General features: G+C 41.4%; 1 long non-coding RNA gene across 1 annotated transcript in view; it reads left to right on the plus strand.

Annotated features, from left to right (window-relative positions):
* The window catches only part of LOC105375346 (uncharacterized), a 36,703-nt gene extending 19,960 nt beyond the window's left edge, over positions 1 to 16,743 (plus strand). The window contains exon 5 of the long non-coding RNA XR_927652.1: positions 16,688 to 16,743. This is a non-coding gene — a long non-coding RNA (uncharacterized LOC105375346). The remainder of the gene's footprint in view (positions 1 to 16,687) is intronic.
* Positions 16,744 to 25,314: the final 8,571 nt, after the last annotated feature.

Consider the following 25,314-nt stretch of genomic DNA (forward strand, 5'->3'; position numbering starts at 1 on the left):
TGAGGTTTAAAATACATATATAGGCCAGGCGCGATGGCTTACACCTGTAATCACAGCACTTTGGGAGGCCAAGGCAGGAGGATCACTTGAGGCCAGGAGTTTGACACCAGCCTGGCCAGCATGGTGAAACCCTGTTTCCACTAAAAACACAAAAACTAGCCGGGCATGCTGACCCATGCCTGTAGTCCCAGCTACTCAGAAGGCTGAGGTGGGAGAATCACTTGACCCTGGGAGACGAAGGCTGCAGTGAGCCGAGATTGTGCCACTGCATTCCAGCCTGTGCGACAGAGTGATACCCTGCCTCAAAAAAAAAAAAAAGAAAAGAAAAGAAAGTCTGAGAATGCTCTGTATGGCTCAACAAAGGGAAGAAACTTCTAAGGACCAGAAGTTTTTAGCAATGAAACAGACCTCTCTGCAAGAAGAGGGTTCCCCATCACCAGAAGTATTTCGGCAGGTTCTGGGTGGTCATCTCCTAGGGTCATAGTGGAAACAACTTTTCACTGGAAGAGAGGCTACATGAGGTAGTCTCTAAGATACTGTCCACTTCTAAGACTTGTGACTTCTATGATTCTAGGGCTCTGGATTCTAGGGTTCTGACTGAATCAGTAGTTAAATATCATCTAACACAGTCCCTTAGAGCAGGGCACTTCATGCATTAACATCTCACAGAAAGCCACCACCACCCAAACTGTCATATGTGTGCTGATGTTAAACTGCTTGCCTGCTGCTTGGCCCAGAATGAAACTGAGTTTCATTTTGACTAAAACATTTTTAATGCATTTGGGAGAAACAAAAAAGTTCTAATAACACACCTCAGGTCTATGAAAAGAATATTGCTCCACAGCCAGTTCACGGCAAAAGAGGAGCACATCGGCCCGTATAATAAAATTCTATCTCAGTCATTTAATATTTAGTGGAAGGCTAGTGGAAGTAAAATCAGACCTGGATTCAGTTCAACACATGGGGCAGTAATGCAAAGTGGGCCAATGATGAGCCTTTGCATTCATTTGTGTTGGCAGATGTCCAAGGCTGCTTCACATCTGTACTGTGAAGCCTCTGTTGGCAGGCAGTGTGGAAGAAAACATGCAATGTTTTTCCCCACGTTGTGGTGCCCTTTCTGGGGCAAAAGAGCAGGGCTGTTGCTGACTGATTGAGTGTTGCTTGCAGCAAACTCTACAGCTCAAGGAAAAATCCGTCACCCTTCTGGAACTTTAGAGCTATGCTTCACAGCGAAACTAAACCTGAGAGCTATACAGAAGGGTGAAAGGGTGAGCTAAATTGAAAGGGCTGAGCAGTGTTGGAGGGCATTAGATTTACAAGGATGCCTCTTAACTCAAAGAGTATTCTCTTTTCCTTTATAGGGCTGGAAATTCGTAATTTATGCTGTTTTAAAGCAAGGACTGATAGGAATGTCAATTTTCTTCCTCTTTGATCATAAAAAATATATATCTTTATTTATTTATTTATTTTTAGAGACAAGATCTCACTCTGTCACCCAGGCTGGAGTGCAATGGCGCGATCACGGCTCACCACACCCTCGACCACCCAGACTCAGGTGATCTTCCCACCTCAGCCTCCGGAGTAGCTGGGACTACAAGCCTGTGCCACTCCACACAGCTAAATTTTTTTTGTGTGTTTTTTTATATTTTGTAGAGATGGGGTCTCGCTGTGTTGCCCAGGCTGGCCTCTAATTCCTGGGCTCAAGCCATCCTTCTGCTTGGGCCTCCCGAAGTGCTAGGATTACAAGCATGAGCCACCACATCCAGCCAAATATATCTTTTATTTATTTATTTATTTTTAAGAGGCAGGGTCTTGCTCTGCCACCCAGGCTGGAGTGCAGTGGCGCGATAATGGCTCACTGCAGCCTCGAATGAATTCCTGGGCTCATGTGATCCATCCACCTCAGATTCCTAAGAAGCTGGGACCACAGATGCCCACCACCATGCCTGGCTGATTTTTAAATTTAAATTTAAATTTTTTCTAGAGATGGAATCTTGCTATGTTGCCCAGACTGGTCTCTAACTCCTGGTCTCCAGTGATCCTCCCACCTCCGCCTCCCAAAGTGCTGGGATTCCAGGTGTGAACCACTGTGCATGGCCTCAATTGTTCTTTTTGAGTCTCATCTCTGAAACTGGCTAAATAAGTCACCTACAATGTGAAAAACTACACGAATAAAAGACATGTAACACATTAGCTCTACAAGAATGAAATGCACTATACAGATTCAAGGACAAGTATTCTGATTTATAGGCTTTTGTAGGACTCAGTTAGCAAGATATAAAAGTAGCCATTATCAGCTGAGTGCGGTGGCCCATGCCTCTAATCCTAGCACTTTGGGAGACTTAGGTGGAAGGATCACTTGAGACCAGAAGTTAGAGACCAGCCTGGGCAACATAGCAATACCCCTGTCTCTACAAAAACTAAAAAATTAGCCAGTCATGGTGATGTGCACCTATAGTCCCAGCTACTCTGGAGGCCAAGGCAGGAGGATCCCTTGAGTCTGGAAGGTCAAGGCTGCAGGGAGCTGTAATCATGCCACTGCACTCCAGCCTGAGTGACAGTGAGACTCTATCTCAAAAAAAAAAAAAAAAAGGCAGTCGTTATCAAAGGCATTTCCTCACCACGGCTGGGTTCTTTATAAATATCAGGTGATGGGACCATCGCCTGAAGCATCTTGGCCAAAATATTTGAGAGTTAGGGTCCAAAGACCTAAATAAGAAACTGACCATCAGTGTGGCTCAGGTAAACATTCCACTTTCTAATCATTATCTAAAAAATAGAGACAATAAAATCTGCTTACCATGGTTACTATGGTGATTAAATTTTCTAATTAATTATTTGAAAAATGTAATGAGCACTTAAAGTAAGAGTCTAAATAGACACTTCCCCAAAGACATAGAAATCGCCAATAAGTATAGGAACATCATTAGTTATCAATGAAATTCAAATCAAAATGAGTCAGATACCACTACACATTCACTAGAATGGCTGTAATCAAAAAGATGATAAAAAGTCTTGGTGAAGATGTGGCGAAATTGGTGCCCTCATACAGTGCCGGTGGGAATGTAAAATGATGTGGCCACTTTGGAAAACAGTCTAACAGTTCCTCAAAAGGCTAAACATAGAATTCTCAAAATAATCCCGGGATTTTACTCTTAGGTATACACCCAAGAGAAATGAAAACATAAGTCCACACAAAAACGTATACATAAATGTTCATAGCAGCATTATTCATAATAGCCAAAAAGTGGAAATAATCCAAATGTCCATCACCCGATGAATGGATAAATAAAATACGGTAAATATCTATGACGAAATATTATTTGGCAACAAAAGGGAATTAAGAATACATGCTACTGTATGGATGAATCCTGAAAACGCTATACTAAGTGAAACAAGCCAGTCACGAAAGACCACATATTGTGTGATTCCATTTCTATGAAAGGTTCAGAATAGGTAAATCCAAAGAGACAGAAAGTAGATCAGTGGTTGCCTGGGGCTGGAAGGAGGAGAGGGAGTGGGGTTTGGGGAAGGTAAAAGCTAAGGGCTGTAAGGCTTCTTTCTGGGGGTGATGAAAACATTCTAAAAGTGATCATGGTGATGGTTGCACAACTCTGTGAATATACTAAAAGTCATTGAATTGTACACTTTAAATGGGTGAATGGTATGTTATATGAATTACATCTCAATAAAGCTATTTCAAAAAATATGCCAAGCAATTTCCTAGGTACTCAGTACATAACGAATGTGAAATGCACATGGTATGAGCTTGATAAATACAATGCAAACATGTAATGCCTCATTTACTTTGAATAAAGGGGAAAATAACTTTTAAAAGGAATACAAATGCATGCAAAATATAACAGCCTAAATTAATGTGCTAATTAGGAATAAAATAACCATAACTAAGGCATATCACCACGTGGTGTTGTACTGGGACATCATTAAGCTACACTTAAGTGTACAGTTAGGCACAGCCTTCAATGGCAATAATCTTTGGTAATATGCCATTGAGTCATAGTGTTATTTAAACAGAAAGCGAAGGTCATTATAAACCACACCTGAGAATCAAAGACAAAGTGATACAATGACAGTTTATTGCAAGACAAGAGAAACTGTGCCTCTATCTTTCTTGTCTTGGCTGTCATATCCTGAATGGGTGTGATTTGCACACTTTCCTACCTCCCCCACACAGTCACTCATAATGCAAGAAAACAGAAATCTTGCTTTTCCATATCAAGGAATTTTTTAAAAATCAGTGACATACTTCTCTAGTCCCTAACCTTTCCCATTCTCTTGTTATCCCCAGGAGGCTGTCATTTCAAAGCCTAAGAGCTAACACAACCCTCAGATTATTGATGGGAGTGGGTCCCATAGAAGTCACCATCCATGTCCTGCTCAAGTAATGCGTGAGCAGTCTGGGAACAGACGCTGGCACCTACCCGAGCTTTCAGTGACTCAAGCTCTTAGCATTCTTGTTTAGGCTTGACATTATGGATGGAGGAAGGTATCCTGGGGAAGCACGTTAACACAAGCAAAGGCAGTTTTGTGAAATGTTTCCAGCAGCGATCATACATCTGGTCCACCCAGCTCTGGGCAAAAGGGCTGATGTTGTGCCGATCCCAGTAAGGACCAGAACTCTGGATGGAGAGCATGTGTGGGTGCATGAAAAGTTTACTCAAAAGTGATCACCAGCCTGCCCGACATGGTGAAACCCTGTCTCTACTAAAAATACAAAAATTAGCTGGATGTGGTGGCACATGCTTGTAATCCCAGCTACTTGGGAGGCTGAGGCAGGAGGATCACTTGAACCCGAGAGGCGGAGGTTGCAGTGAGCTGAGATCGCGCCACTGCACTCTAGTCTAGGCAACAGAGCAAGGGTCCATCTCAAAAAAAAAAAAAATACGCAGTAAAAAAACCCGAAGCTGGAATTGACTACACAATGAAATTGGCTAAATGAAAACAGTCCAGGAAGATAAAGTAAAATCAGATTCAATGACAGAATAAGAGCGAAAGAGTGACTACGATGCACCTCCAAATAGAAGCAGATTTAAATGAAATTCCAAGGCATTTGCTGAAAGGCTTACATGATTTTGAAGAATTTGTTTATTTATTTAGAGACAAGATCTTACTTTGTCTCTCAGGCTGGCGTGCAGTGGTACAATCACAGCACACTGCAGCCTCCACCTCCTGGGCTCAAGCAAGCCTCCCACCTCAGCCTCTTGTGTAGCTGGGACTTCAGTCATGTGCCACCATGCCCGGCTAATGATTTTGCACTTTTTGTAGATATAGGGTTTTTCTATGTTGCCCAGGCTGGTCTCAAAACTCCTGAGCTCAAGCAATCCTCCTGCCTCAGCCTCCCAAAGTGCTGGAATTACAGGCATGAGCCACTGAGCCCAGCCAAGAAGTGTTATTTAGTTGGGAAGAGCAACTAAAACCTGAAAATAGAATGCAAGTTCTAAGCCTGAAAAACACACCAAGAAAAGTTACTTTACAAAATATAAATAAGTTATGTTCCTTCTTTTCATTCACTAATTGTTTGTTTTGCTTTGTAACTGAGAAACACTTTGCACAGCAACGATGTGATAACCAGTGGCTAAGTTCCAAAGGTACCCACCAAAGACTGTTGACCTATAACCACTCCACCTTCCCAGTAATTCTAGTAGTATTGATGCAAGGCAGGCAAGCACCAAATTAGGGACTATCCTGGAAAGGTTCTTGGATTCGCTCAGGAAACAATTTAAGAGTCAGAAAGAATTCAAGAGCAAGCCGAGAAAACAGCTTTATTGAGAGGGCAGTGTTACAGCTCCGTGACTGCTCCTACAGAGAGGGCTACTCCACAGGCAGTGTGGAAAGTAGCTGCTCAGGTGCACATTTATACCCACTTTTAATTACATGCAAATTAAGGAACAGGCGGGCGGTGGTGGCTCAAGCCTGTAATCCCAGCACTTTGGGAGGCCAAGGCAGGCAAATCACCTGAGGTCAGGAGTTCGAGAACAGCCTGGCCAACATGGTGAAACCCCGTCTCTACTAAAAATACAAAAATTAGCCAAGCGTCATGGTGCACGCCTGTAATCCCAGCTACTCGGGAGGCTGAGGCAGGAGAATTACTTGAACCTGGGAGGCGGGCGTTGCAGTGAGCCCAGATCGCTCCACTGCACTCCAGCCTGGGTGACAGAGCAAGACTCCATCTCAAAAAAAAAAAAAAAAGAAAGAAAGAAAAAGATAGACCTGGTGTGGTGGCTCATGCCTGTAATTCCAGTACTTTGGGAGGCCAAGGCAGGAGAATTGCTTGATGGCAAGAATTCGAGACCATCCTATAACATAGCGAGACCCCATCTCTACAAAAAATAAATTAGCTGGGCATGGTGGCATACATTTGTAGTCCCAGCTACTTGGGAGGCTGAGATGAGAGGATCATTTGAGCCCAGGAGGCTGAGGCCAGAGTGAGCCATGATCCTGCCGCTTCACTCCAGCCTGGGTCACATAGTAACAACCTGTCTCAAAAAAAAAAAAAAAAAAAAAAAAAGAAGAAAGAAAAAGAAGAAAAAATGATTTCTTCAATTGTACATAGAGAAGTTATAGAGCAAGATGATGTATAAATAGAGACTATTTAAATCTTTTAACATGGAGAAGTACTCTATAATGTTCAAAACACTACATCAATGGGTGAAAATTGTGTGATTACTCAGAGATCTAGGAGGAATGTAACAATTTAGGGATATAAAGAAGTGACAGATTTAGAAAAAACATGGAGACTCAACTTGAAAGTTAAGGTATGGAAAGAGAAATGACTCAGGCAATTGAAAAGATACAAAAAGAAAAAATGGTCAGAATTAAATATGATATTTGCATAAGTAAGAAAACAAGATTAGTCAAGCTATGAAGAAAAGTAAGAATTACTCTTAGAACAAAGAAAGAAAATGATAAAGGTGTATAAAACTCGCACTGATCAGATAATTTGAAAGGTAGTTGTTAATACCTAAATTAAAAAGAATAAAAAGCACTGAGACGAGAAAACCTTCAAAAGGACCCGAAAAGTGTTTAAATTGTAAAGGTATATATTACATTTGCAGGATGCATAAATAAATCTGTGAGAGGCTTAGAAGAGGAATTTTTAAATGTGATTTCCCAATAAAAGTCTTCTTACTGGGCCGGGCATGGTGGCTCACGCCTGTAATCCCAGCACTTTGAGAGGCTGAGGTGGGCGGATCACTTGAGATCAGGAGTTTGAGACCAGCCTGGCCAACATGGAGAAACCCCGTTCTACTAAAAATACAACAATTAGCCGGGTGTGGTGACGCATGCCTGTAATCCCAGCTACTCGGGAGTCTGTTACATGAGAATCACTTGAACCCAGGAGGCAGAGGCTGCAGTGAGCCAAGATCGCTCCACTGCACTCCTGCCTGGGTGACAAAGTGAGACTTGGTCTCAAAAACAAAAACAAAAAACAGGTCATCTTGTTGATATTTCAGGGGAAAATTATCTCCAAAGTGTTTGAGACCAGCCTGGGCAACATGGAGAAATCCTATCTCTACAAAAAAATACAAAAATTAGCCCGGCATGATGGTGTGCACCTGCAGTCCCAGCTACTTGGGAGGCTAAGGTGGGAGGACCACTTGAGTCCAGGGGTGTTGAGGCTACAGTGAGCCATGCTCGATTGAACGGAATGCACCACTGCACTGCAGCCTGGGTGACAAACAAACAAACAAAAACCTCCAAAGGACAATGAATTATATGGCACATTTCCATTGAAAGTTGATTTATTTTCAATGTACTGCCTCCCCCAGGGGTGATATTCCTCTAAATTGCACAGGTAAAACAAGTAGGTACACATGAAAAATTTTTACTTAGTAATGTTGCTTATTTTTAGCTGTCCAGAAGTTATTTTTATTCACCTTATTTCCTAAGAAGCTCAGCAATTTTCTAATTTATCATCAACAACATTTAATTGAACACTCTTTCACATGTAATTGCTAGCTGCCTGTACTTGTAAAATAGGGCTGAGAATATAGAGTCAACTAACCCAGGTTCAAGCCCCTGCTCAGTCACGTATAAATAACTTTAAGCAAATCCATCAAACCTCAGTTCCTTTATCGCTATATAAAGTGAAAGCCTTGAACAAGAAGAAATTATATGATATCTTAAATCCCTTATAGGTATGGTTGTTATTCTCTGAAGGATAATGTTTTCCTTAATCCGTATAAGTTATTATTGCAATCTTGTCTTCAGAATGATTTTATAGTGTGCAATTTTTCACTAAAATTTATTGACAGCCTAGAATAATCCAAAATTGCAGATTTTAGAGAATAAATAGAAAATGGCTTCCAAGGCAGTATTTCTGCCTTTATATGAAGAAATTATTTGGATATCATTTTAAAAATTTAAACATACAAATTACATAAATAGGTCAGGTACAGTGGCTCATGCCTATAATCTCAAAACTTTGGGAGCCTGAGGCAGAAGGATCACTTGAGGCCAGGAGTTCAAGATCAGCCTGGGCAACATAGTGAGGCCTCATCTCTACAAAAATAGCTAAAAATAAAAAAATTAGCCAGTCATGGTAGTCCCAGTTACTAGGGAGGCTGAGGCAGGAGGATAACTTGAGCCCAAAAGTTAGAGGCTGCAGTGAGCTATGATTGTACTACTGCACTCCAGCTTTAGGCAGACCCTGGCTCAAAAAGAAAAAAAAAAAGAAATTATATAAATAGCATGCATTTATTATATCAATAAACACGTAAGTATACATTAGCAAATTAATAATATATTAATAGCTAGTTAATATTTTAAATAACCGATTAGTATTAATCATAGCTAACAAACTGCATAGATGTGTCAAATATGATGTAACCTTCACAATGACACCGTGAAATTTATACTATTTTTTTTTTCTTTTTGAGATGGAGTCTCGTTCTGTCGCCCAGGCTGGAGTGCAGTGGCACGATCTCAGCTCACTGCAACCCAACCTCCTGGGTTCAAGCGACTCTCCTGCCTCAGCCTCCCCAGCTGGGATTACAGGTGCCCGCCACCACGCCCAACTAATTTTTATATTTTTAGTAGAGACGGGGTTTTGCTGTACTGGCCATGCTGGTTTCGAACTCCTGACCTCAGGTGATCCGCCTGCCTCGGCCTCCCATAGTGCTGGGATTACAGGCATGAGCCACCATGCCTGGCCAAAATTTATACTATTATTATCCTTATTTTACAAATAAGGGAGATTGGAGATACTAAGTAACTTATCCAAGATCACACAGCTTGTAAGTGGTAGAGCCCAGGGCCTTTCACTGCCAAAATTGGGATATTATTGTATATTATTGAGATATCATTGTATATTAATGGGATATTATTGTATATACTGTTTTGTGATTTGCTTTTTAAATTTAACATGTCCTAACTATAGTTCTTTGTCACACGTTTACTTCAATAGCTTCATTTTGAAGGACGGCAGGGTATTCTATATACATGAATGCATGAATACACTGTTATTTGCTTAAACGTTCCTCCATTGTTGGGCATTTAGACAGTTACCAGTTTTTTTACTCCTTGTACACAAATTTTTGTAAATCTAATATTTAGACTGGGTGCAGTGGCTCACACCTATAATCCTAGTCCTTTGGGAGGCTGAAACAGGAGGATCACTTTAGCCCAGGAGTTCAAGACAAGCCTAGGCAACGTAGTGAGAACCGGTATCTACCAAAAAAAAAAAAAAAAAAACTTTATCGGGCATGGTGGCACATGCCTGTGGTCCCAGCTATTGCGGAGGGGCTGAGGTGGGAGGATTGTTTGAGCCCAGGTGGTCAAGGCTGCATTGAACTGTGATTGCTCCACTGCACACCAGCCTTGGTGACAGAGTGAGACCCTGTATCAAAGAGAAAAAAATTAAACATTTCTTCCAAATAAATTTTAAGATATATAATTACTCAAAAGCCATATTTTCTTTCTTTCTTTTTTTTTTTTTTTTTTTTTTTGAGACGGAGTCTCACTCTGTCACCCAGGCTGGAGTGCAGTGCTGCAATCTCGGCTCACTGCAACCTCCACCTCCTGGGTTCAAGTGATTCTCCTGCCTCAGCCTCCAGAGTAGCTGGGATTACAGGAGTGCCACCACTCCCAGCTAATTTTTGTATTTTTAGTAGAGACGGGGTTTCACCATGTTGAGCAGGCTGGTCCCAAACTCCTGACCTCAGGTGATCCACCAGCCTCAGCTTCCCAAAGTGCTAGGATTACAGGCATTAGCCACCACACCCGGCCAAAAGCCATATTTTTAAGACTTAAAAAAAATATACTGACTATGTATTTCATGTTTTTTTTTTAAATGTAGTTTTTAATACTTTGAGGTTATCTAAAAGATTGTTAAACGTTTTGTTGGTTGTTGTCAATAGTTCCTCTTGTGGTCTTAGTCTGCCACTTAAAAGAGAAATTCAAGTAAGTGAAGAGATAGTTCAGCAGTTCCCAATAGATGAAAGAATGAGGGGATAAATTTTTTGTTTTCCCCACTCTTTGTGGAAAATTACAGAAATGGACAGAGTAAGTGCCAGGAAGGAAATTGATTCCCTTCACGGGTGTGGTATTGGAACTGAACAACAGAGAAGAAAACTGAAACATTAAGGACAAGTATTTTGGTACCAAACATTCTTTTCTCTTAAAATTTTATTGTATATATTTAAGATACTCATCATGTTTTTATATACATATGAATCATAAAATGGTTACTATAGTCAAGCAAATTAACATATTTATCATCTCACATAGCTACCTGTTTTTGTGTGTGTGGCAAGGCAAACTTTTTTTTTCTTTTTGAGACAGAATTTGGCTCTTGTCACCCGGGCTGGAATGCAGTGGCATGATCTCGGTTCACTGCAAACTCCACCTCCTGGCTCCTGGGTTCAAGCGATCCTCCTGCCTCAGCCTCCCGAGTAGCTGGGATTACAGGCGCCTGCCACTTGCCCAGCTGTTTTTTGTATTTTTAGTAGAGACCCGGTTTCGCCATGTTCGCCAGTCTGATCTCAAACTACTGGCTTCAGGTGATCCACCTGCCTCGTCCTCCCAAAGTGTTGGGATTACAGGCGTGAGTCACTGCGCCTGGCCGACAAACATTTTTATATCTGGAAAAATCTAGCTTTTTGGCCAAACATTTTTTAAAGCCCTAGATCGTCAGAATAGAGGTTACTTGGGGAGGAACGTGGGATGGGATTTGACTGAAGAGATGAAAGGCAGGAGGGAAACTCCTCAGGTACTAGAAATAACATATATTAAATCTAGGTGGTGGTCATGTGTATAAAAACTCATCTTGCTGTGTACTTTACAGTACATAAATGACGCCTTCAAAGAAACAAACTCAGATAGTTGGCATCATGGAAACCAAACATTCAGGAACAAATGGACTTCTGTTTTTCTCTCAGATATTTTATATATGTTTTACTATAATTTAAGCATTCCATGTTTAAGCCATAAATAAATAAATAAACACAGTAACTCTGACAAACTGACAGAGTATTTTTTTTCTTTTTCTAAATATTTGTTTGGATGAATCCACACTTCTTTTCTCTCTTTTTTTTTTTTTTTTTTTTTTTTTGATACAGGGTCTCACTCTGTCCCAGGCTGGAGTGCAGTGATGCAATCACAGCTTATTGCAGCCTTGAAGTACTGCTGGGCTCAAGCGATCCTCCCACCTCAGCCTTCCGAGTAGCTGGGACCACAGGCACATGCCACCACAGCCAGATTATGTTTTTTTTTAAAAAATGCTTTGAGAGACATAGCCTCCCTATGTTACCCAGGCTGGTCTTGACCTCTGGGCTCAAGCGATCCCCTCGCCTTAGCCTCCTAAAGTGCTAGGATTATAGGTGTGAGTCACCATGCCCGGCCCCATTTCTTATTTAACCAATCCCTAACAGTTGGGCATTTAGATAGCCTTCAATTTTTTGCTATGATTTCTCCTGGCACATATACTTTTGAGTGTACCTTTAATTATTAACTGAAGAGAGGTTCCTGGGAAACTGTGTTTCAGACATCTGAAGAGAAGGAGATGACATGCAAATTCTGCCAGCATTTATCTAGAAGTTAAATGGGGCACAACGTGTCTCAACAGAATAAGACTTTGATCAAACACTGTTAGGTCGCTTGGGCCACATTAGAATAAAAGGCTCGGAATGCAGCATTCACTCATCTTTAAAAAATATTGGCATTTGGAGTAATCCAAAAGAGAATAGTATCTAAATAGTCTACTTTTCCTAAGCATCCACAGGTCATTTTTCTCTCTCCAGAAACTCAATCTCAGTCTTTACATTTTGGAAGATTCAGCCGGGCTCGGTGGCTTATGCCTGTAATCCCAGCCCTTTGGGAGGCCAAGGCAGGCGGATCACCTTAGGTCAGGAGTCCGAGACCAGCCTGACCAACATGGAGAAACCCCCATCTCTACTAAAAATACAAAATTAGCCAGGCGTGGTGGAGCACGCCTATAATCCCAGCTACTTGGGAGGCTAAGGCAGGAGAATCGTCTGAACCCGGGAGGTGGAGGTTGCAGTGAGCTGAGATTGCGCCATTGCACTCCAGCCTAGGCAACAAGAGCAAAATGCCATCTCAAAAAAAAAAAATCTTTTTTGAAGAATGAAACATAAGATTTGAGGACTTTTCCAAAATCTTAGCTGCATTAGAAAATATTGCCCTAGCCTGGTGTGGTGGCTCATACCTGTAATCCTATCACTTTGGGAGGCCAAGGAGGGAGGATTGCTTGAGTCCAGGAGTTCAAGACCAGCATGGACAACATAGTGAGACCTCTCCCACACACACACACACATGTCTCTACAAAAAATAAAAATAAAGACAAATTAGCTGGTAATGGTGGCATCGACCTGTAGTCCCAGCTACTCAGGAGGTTCAGGTGGGAGAATCACTTGAGACCGGGACATTGAGGATACAGTGAGTTCTGATTGCATCACTGCACTCGTCTGGGCAACAAAGCGAGATCCTGCCCCAAAAACAAAGAAACAAACAAAAAAAAAACCTGCAGAAAATGTTAACCTAACTTTTGATAAAAGTGCATCTGTCATTATCAGCTATGTTATGACACATAGATTGGGATCCTAGCTCTTTTTGACTCAGACTATATTGTACAGGCAATATTTTATTATTATTACTTATTAGGTTTTTCTCACACCCATTTATTCATTCATGGAAAGGCAATATTTTTATACTACTGAATAATTACTTGGATGCAGATGTGTTTAACATTAGACAAACCTGCTTTCTTTCTGCCCTTTAAACACCCCCACTCCTTTTGTTTTCTAGAACACATATTTTGGTTGGCAGCAGGAAGTAAAACCTCAGCCTCCATTTGCATTTCTCTAACCTCTCCATACAATGGCATAGACATTTGTTTGTGAACACAGTATTGTAAGATATCTGTATTTTTGGCTGGAATCCAGTTCATCTGTTACAATTTAGTGATGTTCTAAGCTTTTACTTCCATCTCTTGGACCCTAAAATGACTTCATGTTTTGGCCAAGCTTCAGAGTTTCAACATCCACAGACAGAGCCAGACTTTCTTATTCACCCTACCATGCTGGGCTGCCACCAGCAGTTTCTGGGGCATGAAAAACATCCAAACTGGCAAACTTCAGAAAGAGCAGGCATTTTTTTTTCGAAGCATATTTTGTGACAAAAGGCCAACCTGTTCCCCTGATTAAAATATGCAGTGGAGTTATTTTAGCTTCTGAAATTTTCCATTCTGAATAAGAATTTATATTGAGAAAATGGCGATAAAAAGAAGAAGAATCCTATCAACTCTCCTTAGCTTAGTAACTATAGGTGCTCTGAAACCGATAACATTGGTCTGGAACCTTATAACCCTCACCTAGATAAATGCTTCGGATGCAAGTAGTCAAGCTTACACCTATCTCTCCTCCCCACAATCAGCCTGGCAGGAGAGAATTCTTCTCTGTGGAAACTAAACAGCCCCAGAAAAAAAAGACCTACAAATACCCGCATTTATAGGTCCGCCCAGGGACAAAACCAGCTTGAAGTCCCATGACCCTGTGACGAAGCTCTTCAGCCACCAATCTTCTCTGGAACCTGGATTTCCAATTAGCTTGTTATTCCCATATCCTTTAATATGAACAGGCAGCCAAGGAACCAGACTCTAGAGAAAAGACTCAAACATAAAAGACAGAAACCAGCTGGGTGCAGTGGCTCACGCCTATAATCCCAGCACTTTGAGAGGCCGAGGCGGGCAGATCACGAGGTCAAGAGATTGAGACCAGCCTGGCCAACATGGTGAAACCCTGTCTGTACTAAAAATACAAAAAATTAGCTGGGTGTAGTGGCGGGCACCTGTAATCCCAGCTACTCGGGAGACTGAGGCAAGAGAATTGCTTGAACCCGGGAGGCGGAGGTTGCAGTGAGCCGAGATCATGCCACCGCACTCCAGCCTGGTTGACAAGAGCGAAACTCCATCTCAAAAAAAAAAAAAAGCAGAAAACAACAACACAAAAAGAAAGAAAATAGGAACTAGGGAGGAGCAAGGCAGCAATCATGATGAATGAGGGGGTTGGGCATCTCACTATCTGGAAGTAGTGATCTGGTGAGTCTCAGTTCTTCGTAATTTTTTTGAGAGGCCTGAAGGTCATTTCCCTGGGAAGGAACTCAGATATAAGCTTCAAACTTTAAGACCAGAAGGGTCAATTTATATATTGATCCAAAAAAACTGTCTATGGGACTATTGAGTCGGTTTCACATGCATGAGTCTTGAAAACATGCTAAGTGAAATAAGCCAGACACAAAAGATAAATATTGTATAATTCTGCTTATGTGAAGTATCTAGAATACAAATTCATAGTAAGTAGAATAAAGGTTACCAGGGGCTGAGGGAGGGGAGAAAATGAGGAGTTATTGTTTAATGGGTATAGAGTTTCTGTTTGGGATGATGAAAAAGTTCTGGAAATGAATGGTGGTGATGGTTGCACAATATTGTGAATGTACTTGATGCCACTGAATCGTATACTTAAAAATGGCTAAAATGGGCTGGGCATGTTGGCCCATGTCACTACAAAAAATAAAAACATTAGCTGGGTATGGTGGCACATGCTTGTGGTCCTAGCTACTTGAGAGGCTGAGGTGCGAGGATCACATGAGCCCAGGAGGTCGAGGCCGCAGTGACCCGTGATTGTGCCACTGCACTCCAGCCTGGGCAACAGAGCCAGACCCTGTCAAAAAACAAAAACAAAAACCCTAAAATGGTAAATTTTATATTATGTATATTTCACCACAATAAAAGAAAAATGAAAACTTATGAAAGGAAGACACAGTGGTCATAGTATTCTACGTGGTGTTACCAGATCTCTGGGGCATTCTAAGAGTAGCCAGAAATTAAGATATCTACTGAGTTTTAATTGGCAAAATGTAATAACATCGCATGAATCACACAAAATAATTCTGTAGGCATGTGGGCTGTCAGTTGAGACTTCTAGAAAGATATGCAACATGCGATTCTGATGGGGGAAAGACTGGGATTGAAGAAATTCAGGGTCTAATCATTCTTTAAATCACTTTCTAACTCGTGTCTTACATTTTCCCAACCTGTAAAGGGGAATGAGTAATAGCTGCTAGCTCAGTCTCCCAAAAGTGTTGAGGCAAAGCCAACACTGGTCACATGGTACATTCTGCATCTTGAAAGATGTCTTATGTGATCCTCACATCTGATGTCATTATGTTGGGTTAGTTGGTAAAGAAAGTGTCTTCATGAGTCTTTTGCTTAAAAAACAGAAAGCTGGCCGGGCACGGTGGCTCATGCCTATAATCCCAGCACTTTGGGAGGCCGAGGCGGGCAGATCACAAGGTCAGGAGATCGAGACCATCCTGGCTAACACAGTGAAACCCCGTCTCTACTAAAAATACAAAAAATTAGCTGGGCGTGGTGGCGGGTGCCTGTAGTTCCAGCTACTCAGGAGGCTGAGGCAGGAGAGTGGTGTGAACTCGGGAGGTGGAGCTTGCAGTGAGCCGAGATCATGCCACTGCACTCCAGCCTGGGTGACAGAGTGAGACTCCGTCTCAAAAAAAAAAAAAAAGTTATTCTTTTACCCCATACAGAGAGAAGGAAATTGTCTTTGAGTGATAGAGGTTTTATTGAACAAGAGTCAGGATGTTGGCTCCCATAGGCTTTTTCTAGTATTTAAAATGTTCTTTGTTAGTCAGTAAGAATCTTGCTTTACCTGTATTATTAGGAAAGATACTTGGATATCCAGAGAACCCTTCTTCAAAGTTCTAATGAGATGACAATCTTTTTTTTTTTTTTTAACAGAGTCTCACTCTGTCACCCAGGCCGGAGCACAATCTCGGCTCACTGCAACCTCCACCTCCTGGGCTCAAGTGATTCTCCCACGTCAGCCTCCTGAGTAGCTGGGACTACAGGCATGCACCACCACACCTAGCTAATTTGTATATATTTAGTAGAGACGGGTTTCACCATGTTGGCCAGGCTGGTCTTGAACTCCTGAGCTCAAGTGATTTGCCCGCCTTGGCCTCTCAAAGGGCTGGGATTACAGGTGTGAGCCACCGTGCCCAGCTGAGATAACAATCTTCTTAAACTTGTCAAGCCTCAGTTTCTTTATCTGTAAAATAAGGATAAAATCTACATCATCTACTTGACAGAATTGTTTTGAGGATTCAATAGATCTTTATGTTCATTTATTCTCAGTAAATATTCATGCCGATTGCTGGGAATGTAATGGTCAAAAAAAGAGACATGGTCCACACCTCCCTAAAGTCTCCAGGTAAGGGGATTAGATGAGGTATGTAAATCACACAAAACAGTTCTCCGTACATTAGTAGATGTCAGTAAATATTAGTTCCTTAACTGTGATGGTTAATTGTATATGTCAATGTAACTGGACCACAGGGTGCCCAGATATTTGGCTAAATATTCTTTCTGGGTATGTCTGTAAGGGTGTTTCTGGATGAGATTAGCATTTGAATCAATGAACTGAGTATAGCACATTGCCCTCCCCAATGCGAGTGGGCATCATCCTATCCATTGAGGGTCTGAATAGAACAAAAAAGTGAAGGAAGGGGGAATTCTCTTTCTCAGCCTGACTGCTTGAGCTGGGACATTGGTCTCTTCCTGCTCTTGCACTAGAATTTATACCATTGGCACTCCTGCTTCTCAGGCCCTTGGACTTGGATTGGAACAACACTCCCAGCCTTCCTGGGTCTCCAACTTGTAGACAGCAGATCATAAGACATTGCAGCTTCCACAATAGTAGGAGACAATTCCTATAATAAATCTTTCTTTTGGCCAGATGTGATGGCTCATGCTTGTAATCCCAACACTTTGGGAGGCCAAGGTGGGTGGATTACTTGAGGTTAGGAGTTTGAGACCAGTCTGGCCAACATGGTGAAACCCCATCTCTACTAAATATACAAAAAAAAGTATTATTCAGGTTTGGTGGTTTGTACCCATAGTCTCAGCTACTGGGGAGGCTGAGCCAGAAGAATCGCTTGAACCTGGGAGGCAGAGGTTGCAGTGAGCCAAGATCACACCATTGCACTCCAACCTGGGTGACAGAGCAAGACTCTGTCTTAAAAATAAATCAAATAAATATCTCTCTCTCTCTCTAGCTCTCTCTCTCTCTTAATACACTAACCCTTGAGATAAGAACCCTCAAAGTCACTCCTGCAAATCTAAGTCAAGACCCTGAAATCAGCAAAAAACCAGTTGCAACCTGGTTCCTTATTTTGTAAAGTCATATTGCCCATATTTACAACTCTAGGCCACTGCTAGCCAAACTGTAAGCATTGGAGTCATTCTTCTGCCCTGTAATATAAAACTTGGGAGGGAGCAAGTCACTCAGTTTATCTTCCCCAGAGAGCTGGGAAAAGTAATATTATGTCCAGAGCATAAGGGATTCAGAAGTTTACCAAAGTCCTGGGAACTTAAATTGTAGGCAAAGATAATATTACTGTTGGTCACTGTCTACTTATTTTCTATTTAAGGAGTTTTATCTTCTTAGTAGAGGGGGTTGGTTTAATAGAGTGTAAGGGGAAAAGTCTAGTGAGTGTATTGATTGACCATAGGATGATAAATGTGGGCAACTTATTTCCTAATCTTCCTCCAGATTTGACTAGCTGAGGGTGAATAAAATTATTTTTAATATAGCCAAGTCTTTTTTCTTTGCCTTGGGATTCTGCTACCATATATGTGCCTGGATGACACTTCTCTCCACCACCCCACCAAGAAAGAGTAAGAATTTATAGATGGGCACCAGGTAAAAGATATTTCAACATATGGTACTCTATGCCCAAATGTAGAGTTTTAGCATCTCAGCTAGGAACAATTAAGTTATGCCAGCGTAGTACTTAAGGAAGGAAAGAAAGAAATACATACGGTATTTACACATCAAATACACCCACATTTTACTAGAAAAGAAGATGGTTATAATACCTCATACCTCATGAGAAAGAACAAGGACCTTCATTATCAAGGGAAGAAAAGGTTTCTAAGGTATTGCACATATTTTTTTTTTTTTTTAATTTGAGACAGGGTCTCGCTCTGTCACCCAGGCTGGAGTGTAGTGGCATGATCGTAGCTTACAGTAGCCTCAAATTTCTTGGCTCAAGTGATCCTCCCACTTCTTCCTCTGGAATAGCCGGGACTACAGGCATGCACCAACATGTCTGGCTTTTAAAAATTTTTTGGAGAGGCAGCGTCTTGCTATGTTGCCCAGGCTGATTTCGAACTCCTGGGTTTAAGCAATCCTCCCACCTTGGCCTCCCAAGGTGTGGAGATTATAGGCATGAGCTACTACATCCAGCTGCATTGTACACATTATATGCAAAATAGAAGCAATCTGATGGGAAAGGAAGAAGATGAGGCTATTTAATGAAGCAAATTAGTTTTATGTCAGATTACACTCTCAGGTATGAAATATTTCTGAAAAAAAAAAGTTTGTGCAAAACACAGCGCTCTTATTATTGCACATTTCCTCCCTTTTGCTTGCTCAAGACAAATGCAATGCTGAAGAGGTTTTTACTCTGATGCTCTAACAAGAAGTGTACTTCTGTCACATCCAGAGTGACTGATAATGGTCAGGCCTATCCATTACTCCATTCAAATAATAGGGTTTCCTTGCTTTTAAGGTCACTTGAGCTATAATGTTGTTATTGTCCTTTCTTCTGCTCTGTAGTCTCATTTTCCCAGAGGATTGGTAGAGAGAGAAAGGGGCATTGGGCAGCACTCAGTCATGGGCAAAATGGCACTGTCACCAGTTTCGCTGAAGTCCTGAATCTCCTTGCTACTGATAGACACGCATGTGACAGTGGGTTTAGTGGGGACAAATAGCTTGGGCTTCAATATGGATTAAACAATAGCAACACAATAGCAGAAATCCATTCCTGGGCCGGGCACGGTGGCTCATGCCTGTAATCCCAGCACTTTAGAAGACCGAGGCGGGTGAATCGTCTGAGGTCAGGAGTTCAAGACCAGCCTGGCCAATATGGAGAAACCCTGTCTCTACTAAAAATACAAAAATTAGCTGGGCCTGGTGGCATGTGCCTGTAATCCCAGCTACTCGGGAGGCTGAGGCAGGAGAATTGCTTGAACCTGGGAGGCAGAGGTTGCAGTGAGCCAAGATTACGCCATTTGCACTCCAGCTTGGGCGACAGAGCAAGCCTCCATCTCAAAAAAATAAAAAATAAAAATAAGAAATCCATTCTTGGATATTTTTTGTTCCAATTAGAAACTAGAGTGGAAAATACTCTAGTTTTGTGCCTAGCCACCACCTTATTATTAGAGCGAAAAAGGCCAGGTATAGTGGCTTATGCCTGTAATCCCAGCACTTTGGGAGGCCCAGGCAGGATAATTGCTTGAAGCCAGGACTTTGAGACCAGCCTGGGCAACAAAGCAGGACTCCATCTCTACAAAAAACGAAGTAAAAAATAAACTGAAATATACCATGCAGTGGTTCACATTTGTGATCCCAGTTACTTGGGCGGCTAGGGTAGGAGGATCACTTGAGCCCAGGAGTTTGAGGTGCAGTGAGCCATGATTGCAACACTACACTCCAGCCTGGGAAACAGAGTAAGACCCTGTCTCTAAAACCCCTCCCCCTGCCAAAGAAAACAAAGAAACAAACAAACAAACAAAAACCACACACACACACAAAACCACACAGGACTCCTGGGTTCTCTCCTGAGTCCAGCTCTATCACTATGTAAGTATGTGACACTGGACAACACACCATATCTCCTGGGCTTCTGTTTATCTATTTGTGTTAATATATGAACTACAGCATCTCTAATGTCATATTCAATTAAATAAATATCTATCAGTCCTGAAACAAGTCTACATAGCAATGTCCTGCTGGCCTGCTAGTCACTTTGTCACACATTTGGACTTCTTCACAATTTCTTGTAGGCCTGAAGCAAAGCACGTTGGCTTAACGTATTTAACTCCAGGATGTCTTTTCCCAAGAAATGCAAGGCTTGGCCAGGTACAGTGGCTCACGCCTGTAATCCCAGCACTTTGGGAGGCCAAGGCGGGTGGATCACTTGAGGTCAGGAATTCAAGACCAGCCTGGCCAATGTGGCAAAATCCCGTCTCTACTAAAAATACAACAATTATCCAGGTGTGGTTAACTCATGCCTGTAATCCCAGCTACTAGGAAGGCTGAGGCAGGAGAATTGCTTGAACCCAGGGTGCAAAGGTTGCAGTGAGCCGAGATTGCACCACTGTACACTCCAGCCCGGGCGACAGAGCAAGACTCCATCTCAAAAAAAAAAAAAAAAAAAAAAAAAAAAAAAGAAATGCCAGGCTTCGGTTTAATAGTTTTTCTTCAGTTTTTAATTTTGTAACGTTTCAAACCTTCAGAAAAGTTGCAGGCAGAGAACAATGAAGGGTCTCGTACCCTTCACTAAGATTTACCAATTGTTAACATTTTGCCACATTTATTTTCTATTTCTCTTTCTCTACTCCCTTCCTTAATATATACATTGCTGAACCATTTGAGAATTTATTGCAGACATCATGACACTTCATCCCTAAACACTCCTTAAAGATAGCATTTATTTCCTAAGAAAAGAGACATTCTTCTACGTAACCACAATACAACTACTTGAAAATTTTAACAATGATTCGACACTATTATCTAAAGTATATTCCATACTCAAATTTCCTCAATTGTCCTAATAATGTGTCCCAATAATGCTTCATATGGTTTGGATGTTTGTCCCCTCCAAATCTCATGTTGAAATATGATTCCCCTTGTTGGAGGTGGGGCATGATGAGAGGTGATTGGATCTTGGGGGTGGATCCCTTATGAATGGTTTAGTATCATCCCCTTAGAGATAAGTGAACTTTTGCTCAGTTAGTTCACATGAGATCTGGTTGTTTAAAAGAGTGTGATGCCTCCCACTTCACCCCTTGCTCCCACTGTTGCCATGTGACACCCCTGGTCCCACTGTGTCTTCTGCCATGATTGTAAGTTTCCTGAGTCCTTCACCAGGAGCAGATCAGATGCTGGAGCCATGCTAAAACAGCCTATACAGCCTGCAGAACTGTGAGCCAAATAAACCCCTTTTCTTTATAAATTACGCAGTCTCAGGTATTCCTTTATGCCAACACAAAAATGGCCTCATACAATGTCCTATGTAGTTTAAGTTCATTTTATTTTATTTACTTATTTTTTTGAGACGGAGTCTTCATCTGTCGTCCAGGCTGGAGTGCAGTTGCAAGATTTCGCCTCACTGGAAACTTCACCTCCCAGGTTCAAGTGATTCTCCTGCCTCAGCCTCCTGAGTAGCTGGGATTACAGGCGCCTGCCACCAAACCCAGCTAATTTTTGTATTTTTAGTAGAGATGGGGTTTTGCCATGTTGGCCAGGCTGGTCTGGAACCCCTGACATCAAGTGATCTGCCTGCCTCAGCCTCCCAAAGTGTTGGGATTACAGGCATGAGCCACTGCGCCCGGCCAATGTCCCATGTAGTTTTATTTATTTTTATCTTTTATATTCCAGGATCCAATCAAGGATTATTTGTTGCATTCAATTTTCATTTTTTCCTTCCCTTGAACTATAATTCCCCAGCCTTGTTTGATTTTCATGTTATTGACATTTTTTGAAGAATTTAGGACAATTGTTTTGCAGAATGTCCCTCAATTTGAGTTTGTTTGGCTGTGCCCTAATGATTAGATTCAGGTTAAGTATTTTTGGAAGGAATAGCGTATGGTTTGCTGTGTTCTTCTCAGTGTATCACATCCAGATGTAAGTGATGTAACTGGTGATAGTAAGTTTGATCATTTGGTTAAGGTGGTATTCGCCAAATATCTGCAAAATTAAAGTGCCATGTCCCTTTAAAAGTAACAAGTAATCTTGGATGTGACACTTTGAAACTTGGTAAATATCCTGTTTCCCAAAGATTTTGACATCCATCAACAGTGGTGGTTGTAAGATTACCATGTTTTAATTGCTCTTTACAAAGGTGAATTGGGATAATCAACAGATCTCTGAGGAATCAGTCAGGGTGGACTTCGGTCCACAGAAAAACCCTGGGGAGTGCGTGTGTGTGTGTGTATGTGTGTGTGTGTGTGTGTGTGTTTATGATGGAGGTGCTGAAGTAAATTGAGAAGGTAAAGTGGGGCTGGGCACAGTGGCTCATGCCTGTAATCCCTGCACTTTGGGAGGCCGAGGCAGCCAGATCCCTTGAGGTCAGGAGTTTGAGAGTAGCCTGGCAACATGGTGAAATCCTGTCTCTACTACAAATACAATAATTAGCCGGGCATGGTGGCACACGCCTGTATTCCCAGATACTTGGGAGGCTGAGGCAGGAGAATCGCTTGAATTCAGGAGGCGGAGGTTGCAGTGAGCTGAGATTGTGCCACTCTAGCCTGGGCGACAGAGCAAGATTCCATCTCAATAATAATAATAATAATAATAATAATAATAATAATAATAATAATAATGTAAAGTGGGCTGACCACGGTGGTTCATGTCTATAATCCCAGCACTTTGGGAGGCTGAGACAGGAGAATCAATTGAGGTCAGTAGTTTGAGACCAGCCTGGGCAACATAGCGAGACCCCATCTCTGTAAAAATAAATAAATAAATAAATAAACAAAATTAGCCGGGTGTGGTGGTGCATGTCTGAAGTCCCAACTACTTGAGAGGCTGAGAAGAGAGGATCACTTGAACCCAGGAGTTTGAGGCCTGGGTGAGCCAAGACCATGCCACCGTACTCCAGCCTGGATAACAGAGCAAGACCCTGTTTCAAAGAAAAAAAAAAAAAGTAAAGCGACATGCTGTTAGGATTTTAAGCAGTTTCAGTGGAGGCTTTGGGGATGTCTCACGCTCAGAATCAAGAAAAATAAACTGTTGCTAGGTGTTGAACAGAACAAACACAATATACTATTTCTGTCTTTGCAATTTCTCCATAGTGTAAGACTTAGAGCTTAAAAATAATGGGTACATGCAATACAAATAATGCATTCATATGTCAATTATAGATAAAATAGGCTGGGTGCAGTGGCTCATACCTGTAATCCCAGTACTTTGGGAGGCCCAGGTGGGTGGATCACTTGAGGTCAGGAGTTTGAGACCAGCCTGGCCAACATAGTGAAACCTGCCTCTACTAAAAATACAAAAATTAGCTGGGTGTGGTGGCGCACACCTGTAATCCCAGCTATTCAGGAGGCTGAGGCAGGAGAATCTCTTGAGCCTGGGAGGCAGAGGTTGCAGTGAGCCAAGATCACAACACTGCAGTACAGCCTGGGCAACAGAGTAAGACTCTGAAAAAAACAATAAAAATAAAATCAATAAATAAAATAAAACAAAAGATATTTTTATAGGTGAATTATAGCTTCCTTTATTTCTTTTTCCACCATCCCCATTCCATTATATTTTTTGTTGTAATTTCACTAAACTTCTGTTAGATAAAGTTTAGGTATTATTAACAGGAAACAATTAGTAATCAATAATGTGGGATGAGCAAAAATTTGCAATCGAGTTTACAGATAATGAAGTGATGATTTCATGTGTTAAGCAAGAGTAACATTCAGGAGATTGATTTTACAAAGAGAGAGTAGCAAATAATTTGAGTATGCCTTTTTTTTTTTTTGAGAGAGAGGGTGTCACCCTGTTACCTAGGCTAGAGTGCAGTGGCACAATCACAGCTCACTGCAGCCTTGACCTCTGGGGCCCAAGCAATCCTCCCACCTCAGCCTTCTCAGCTTTCCTAGTATCTGGGACTGCAGGTGCATGCCACCACACCCAGCTAATATTTGTATATTTTGAGAGAGGGGACTTCGCCATGTTGCCCAGACTGGTCTTGAACTCTGGACTCAAGCAATCCACCTGCCTCCGTCTCCCAAAGTGCTGGGATTACAGAGCACCCTGTGCCCAGCTAAGCATGCCTGTTTTTATCTTGAACAATTATACTACAGTATGTCTACATTTTTTTTCTTCATGTTTCCCTGATTTATCAGAGTTAATTTTCAACAAAAGCAGGATTCTATACCAATGTGTGAGACTAGTTATTAAATGATAGGGAGAACAAACCAAATGTTACAATAAAGGGAAAACATTCTGCAGAGAAGAACAAAAATAAATAATAATAGCAATAATCATGATGATGATAAAGAATGCTAATGAGCTTTGATAAAAAAAAACCCTGTAAAGCGAAGATATTCTAATAATAGTACAGTAACATGAACCGAGAAGGTGAATTGTGTAAGAGATTACATTTTAAGTGGCAAGAACAATCGGACATAGGAAACAAGGATATAAGATCATAAAACAATAGATGCCATGTAGTCAAGCAATAGACATAAAGAAGCCTTAGCAAATTTTTTTTTGCCTTGCAGAATTATATTAATGTATGTCTTCTTTCGTTATCTTCCTATTTCTCTGGTTTATCAGGCGATTTGAACTCAAAGCAGGGAGAACAATGTTTTACTATGACGTCAGTGTTTTAGGAAAAAGAGCCAGGAATGTGAAAAGTAAGCTCTTTGCAAATACAATGATGTCATTGTTGCTGCTGTTGTGCTTCTAGGATAAGTGTGTGATTGTTAATTGTGAAAACACAAATAGTAGTGGATACAATTTTTCTTAGAACAGAAGTGCTATGCCACTAAAACACGCATAATGGAGATTACAAGAACAATCAACAAAGTGCAGCGTATTATAAAGACTGACTTTTAAGCTGCAATATAGCCAATATACACTGTTAAGAACCCAGAATTATCTCATGAATGAATAATGAAATAAATAGCCATGTTTTATTAGCTTTATATAAAACTATCTACAAGTTGAACAACCTTTTTGAGCCCTTTTTAAAAAC

The sequence above is a fragment of the Homo sapiens genome, chromosome 7 (assembly GCF_000001405.40).
Source record: "Homo sapiens chromosome 7, GRCh38.p14 Primary Assembly".
Classification (NCBI taxonomy): domain Eukaryota; kingdom Metazoa; phylum Chordata; class Mammalia; order Primates; family Hominidae; genus Homo; species Homo sapiens.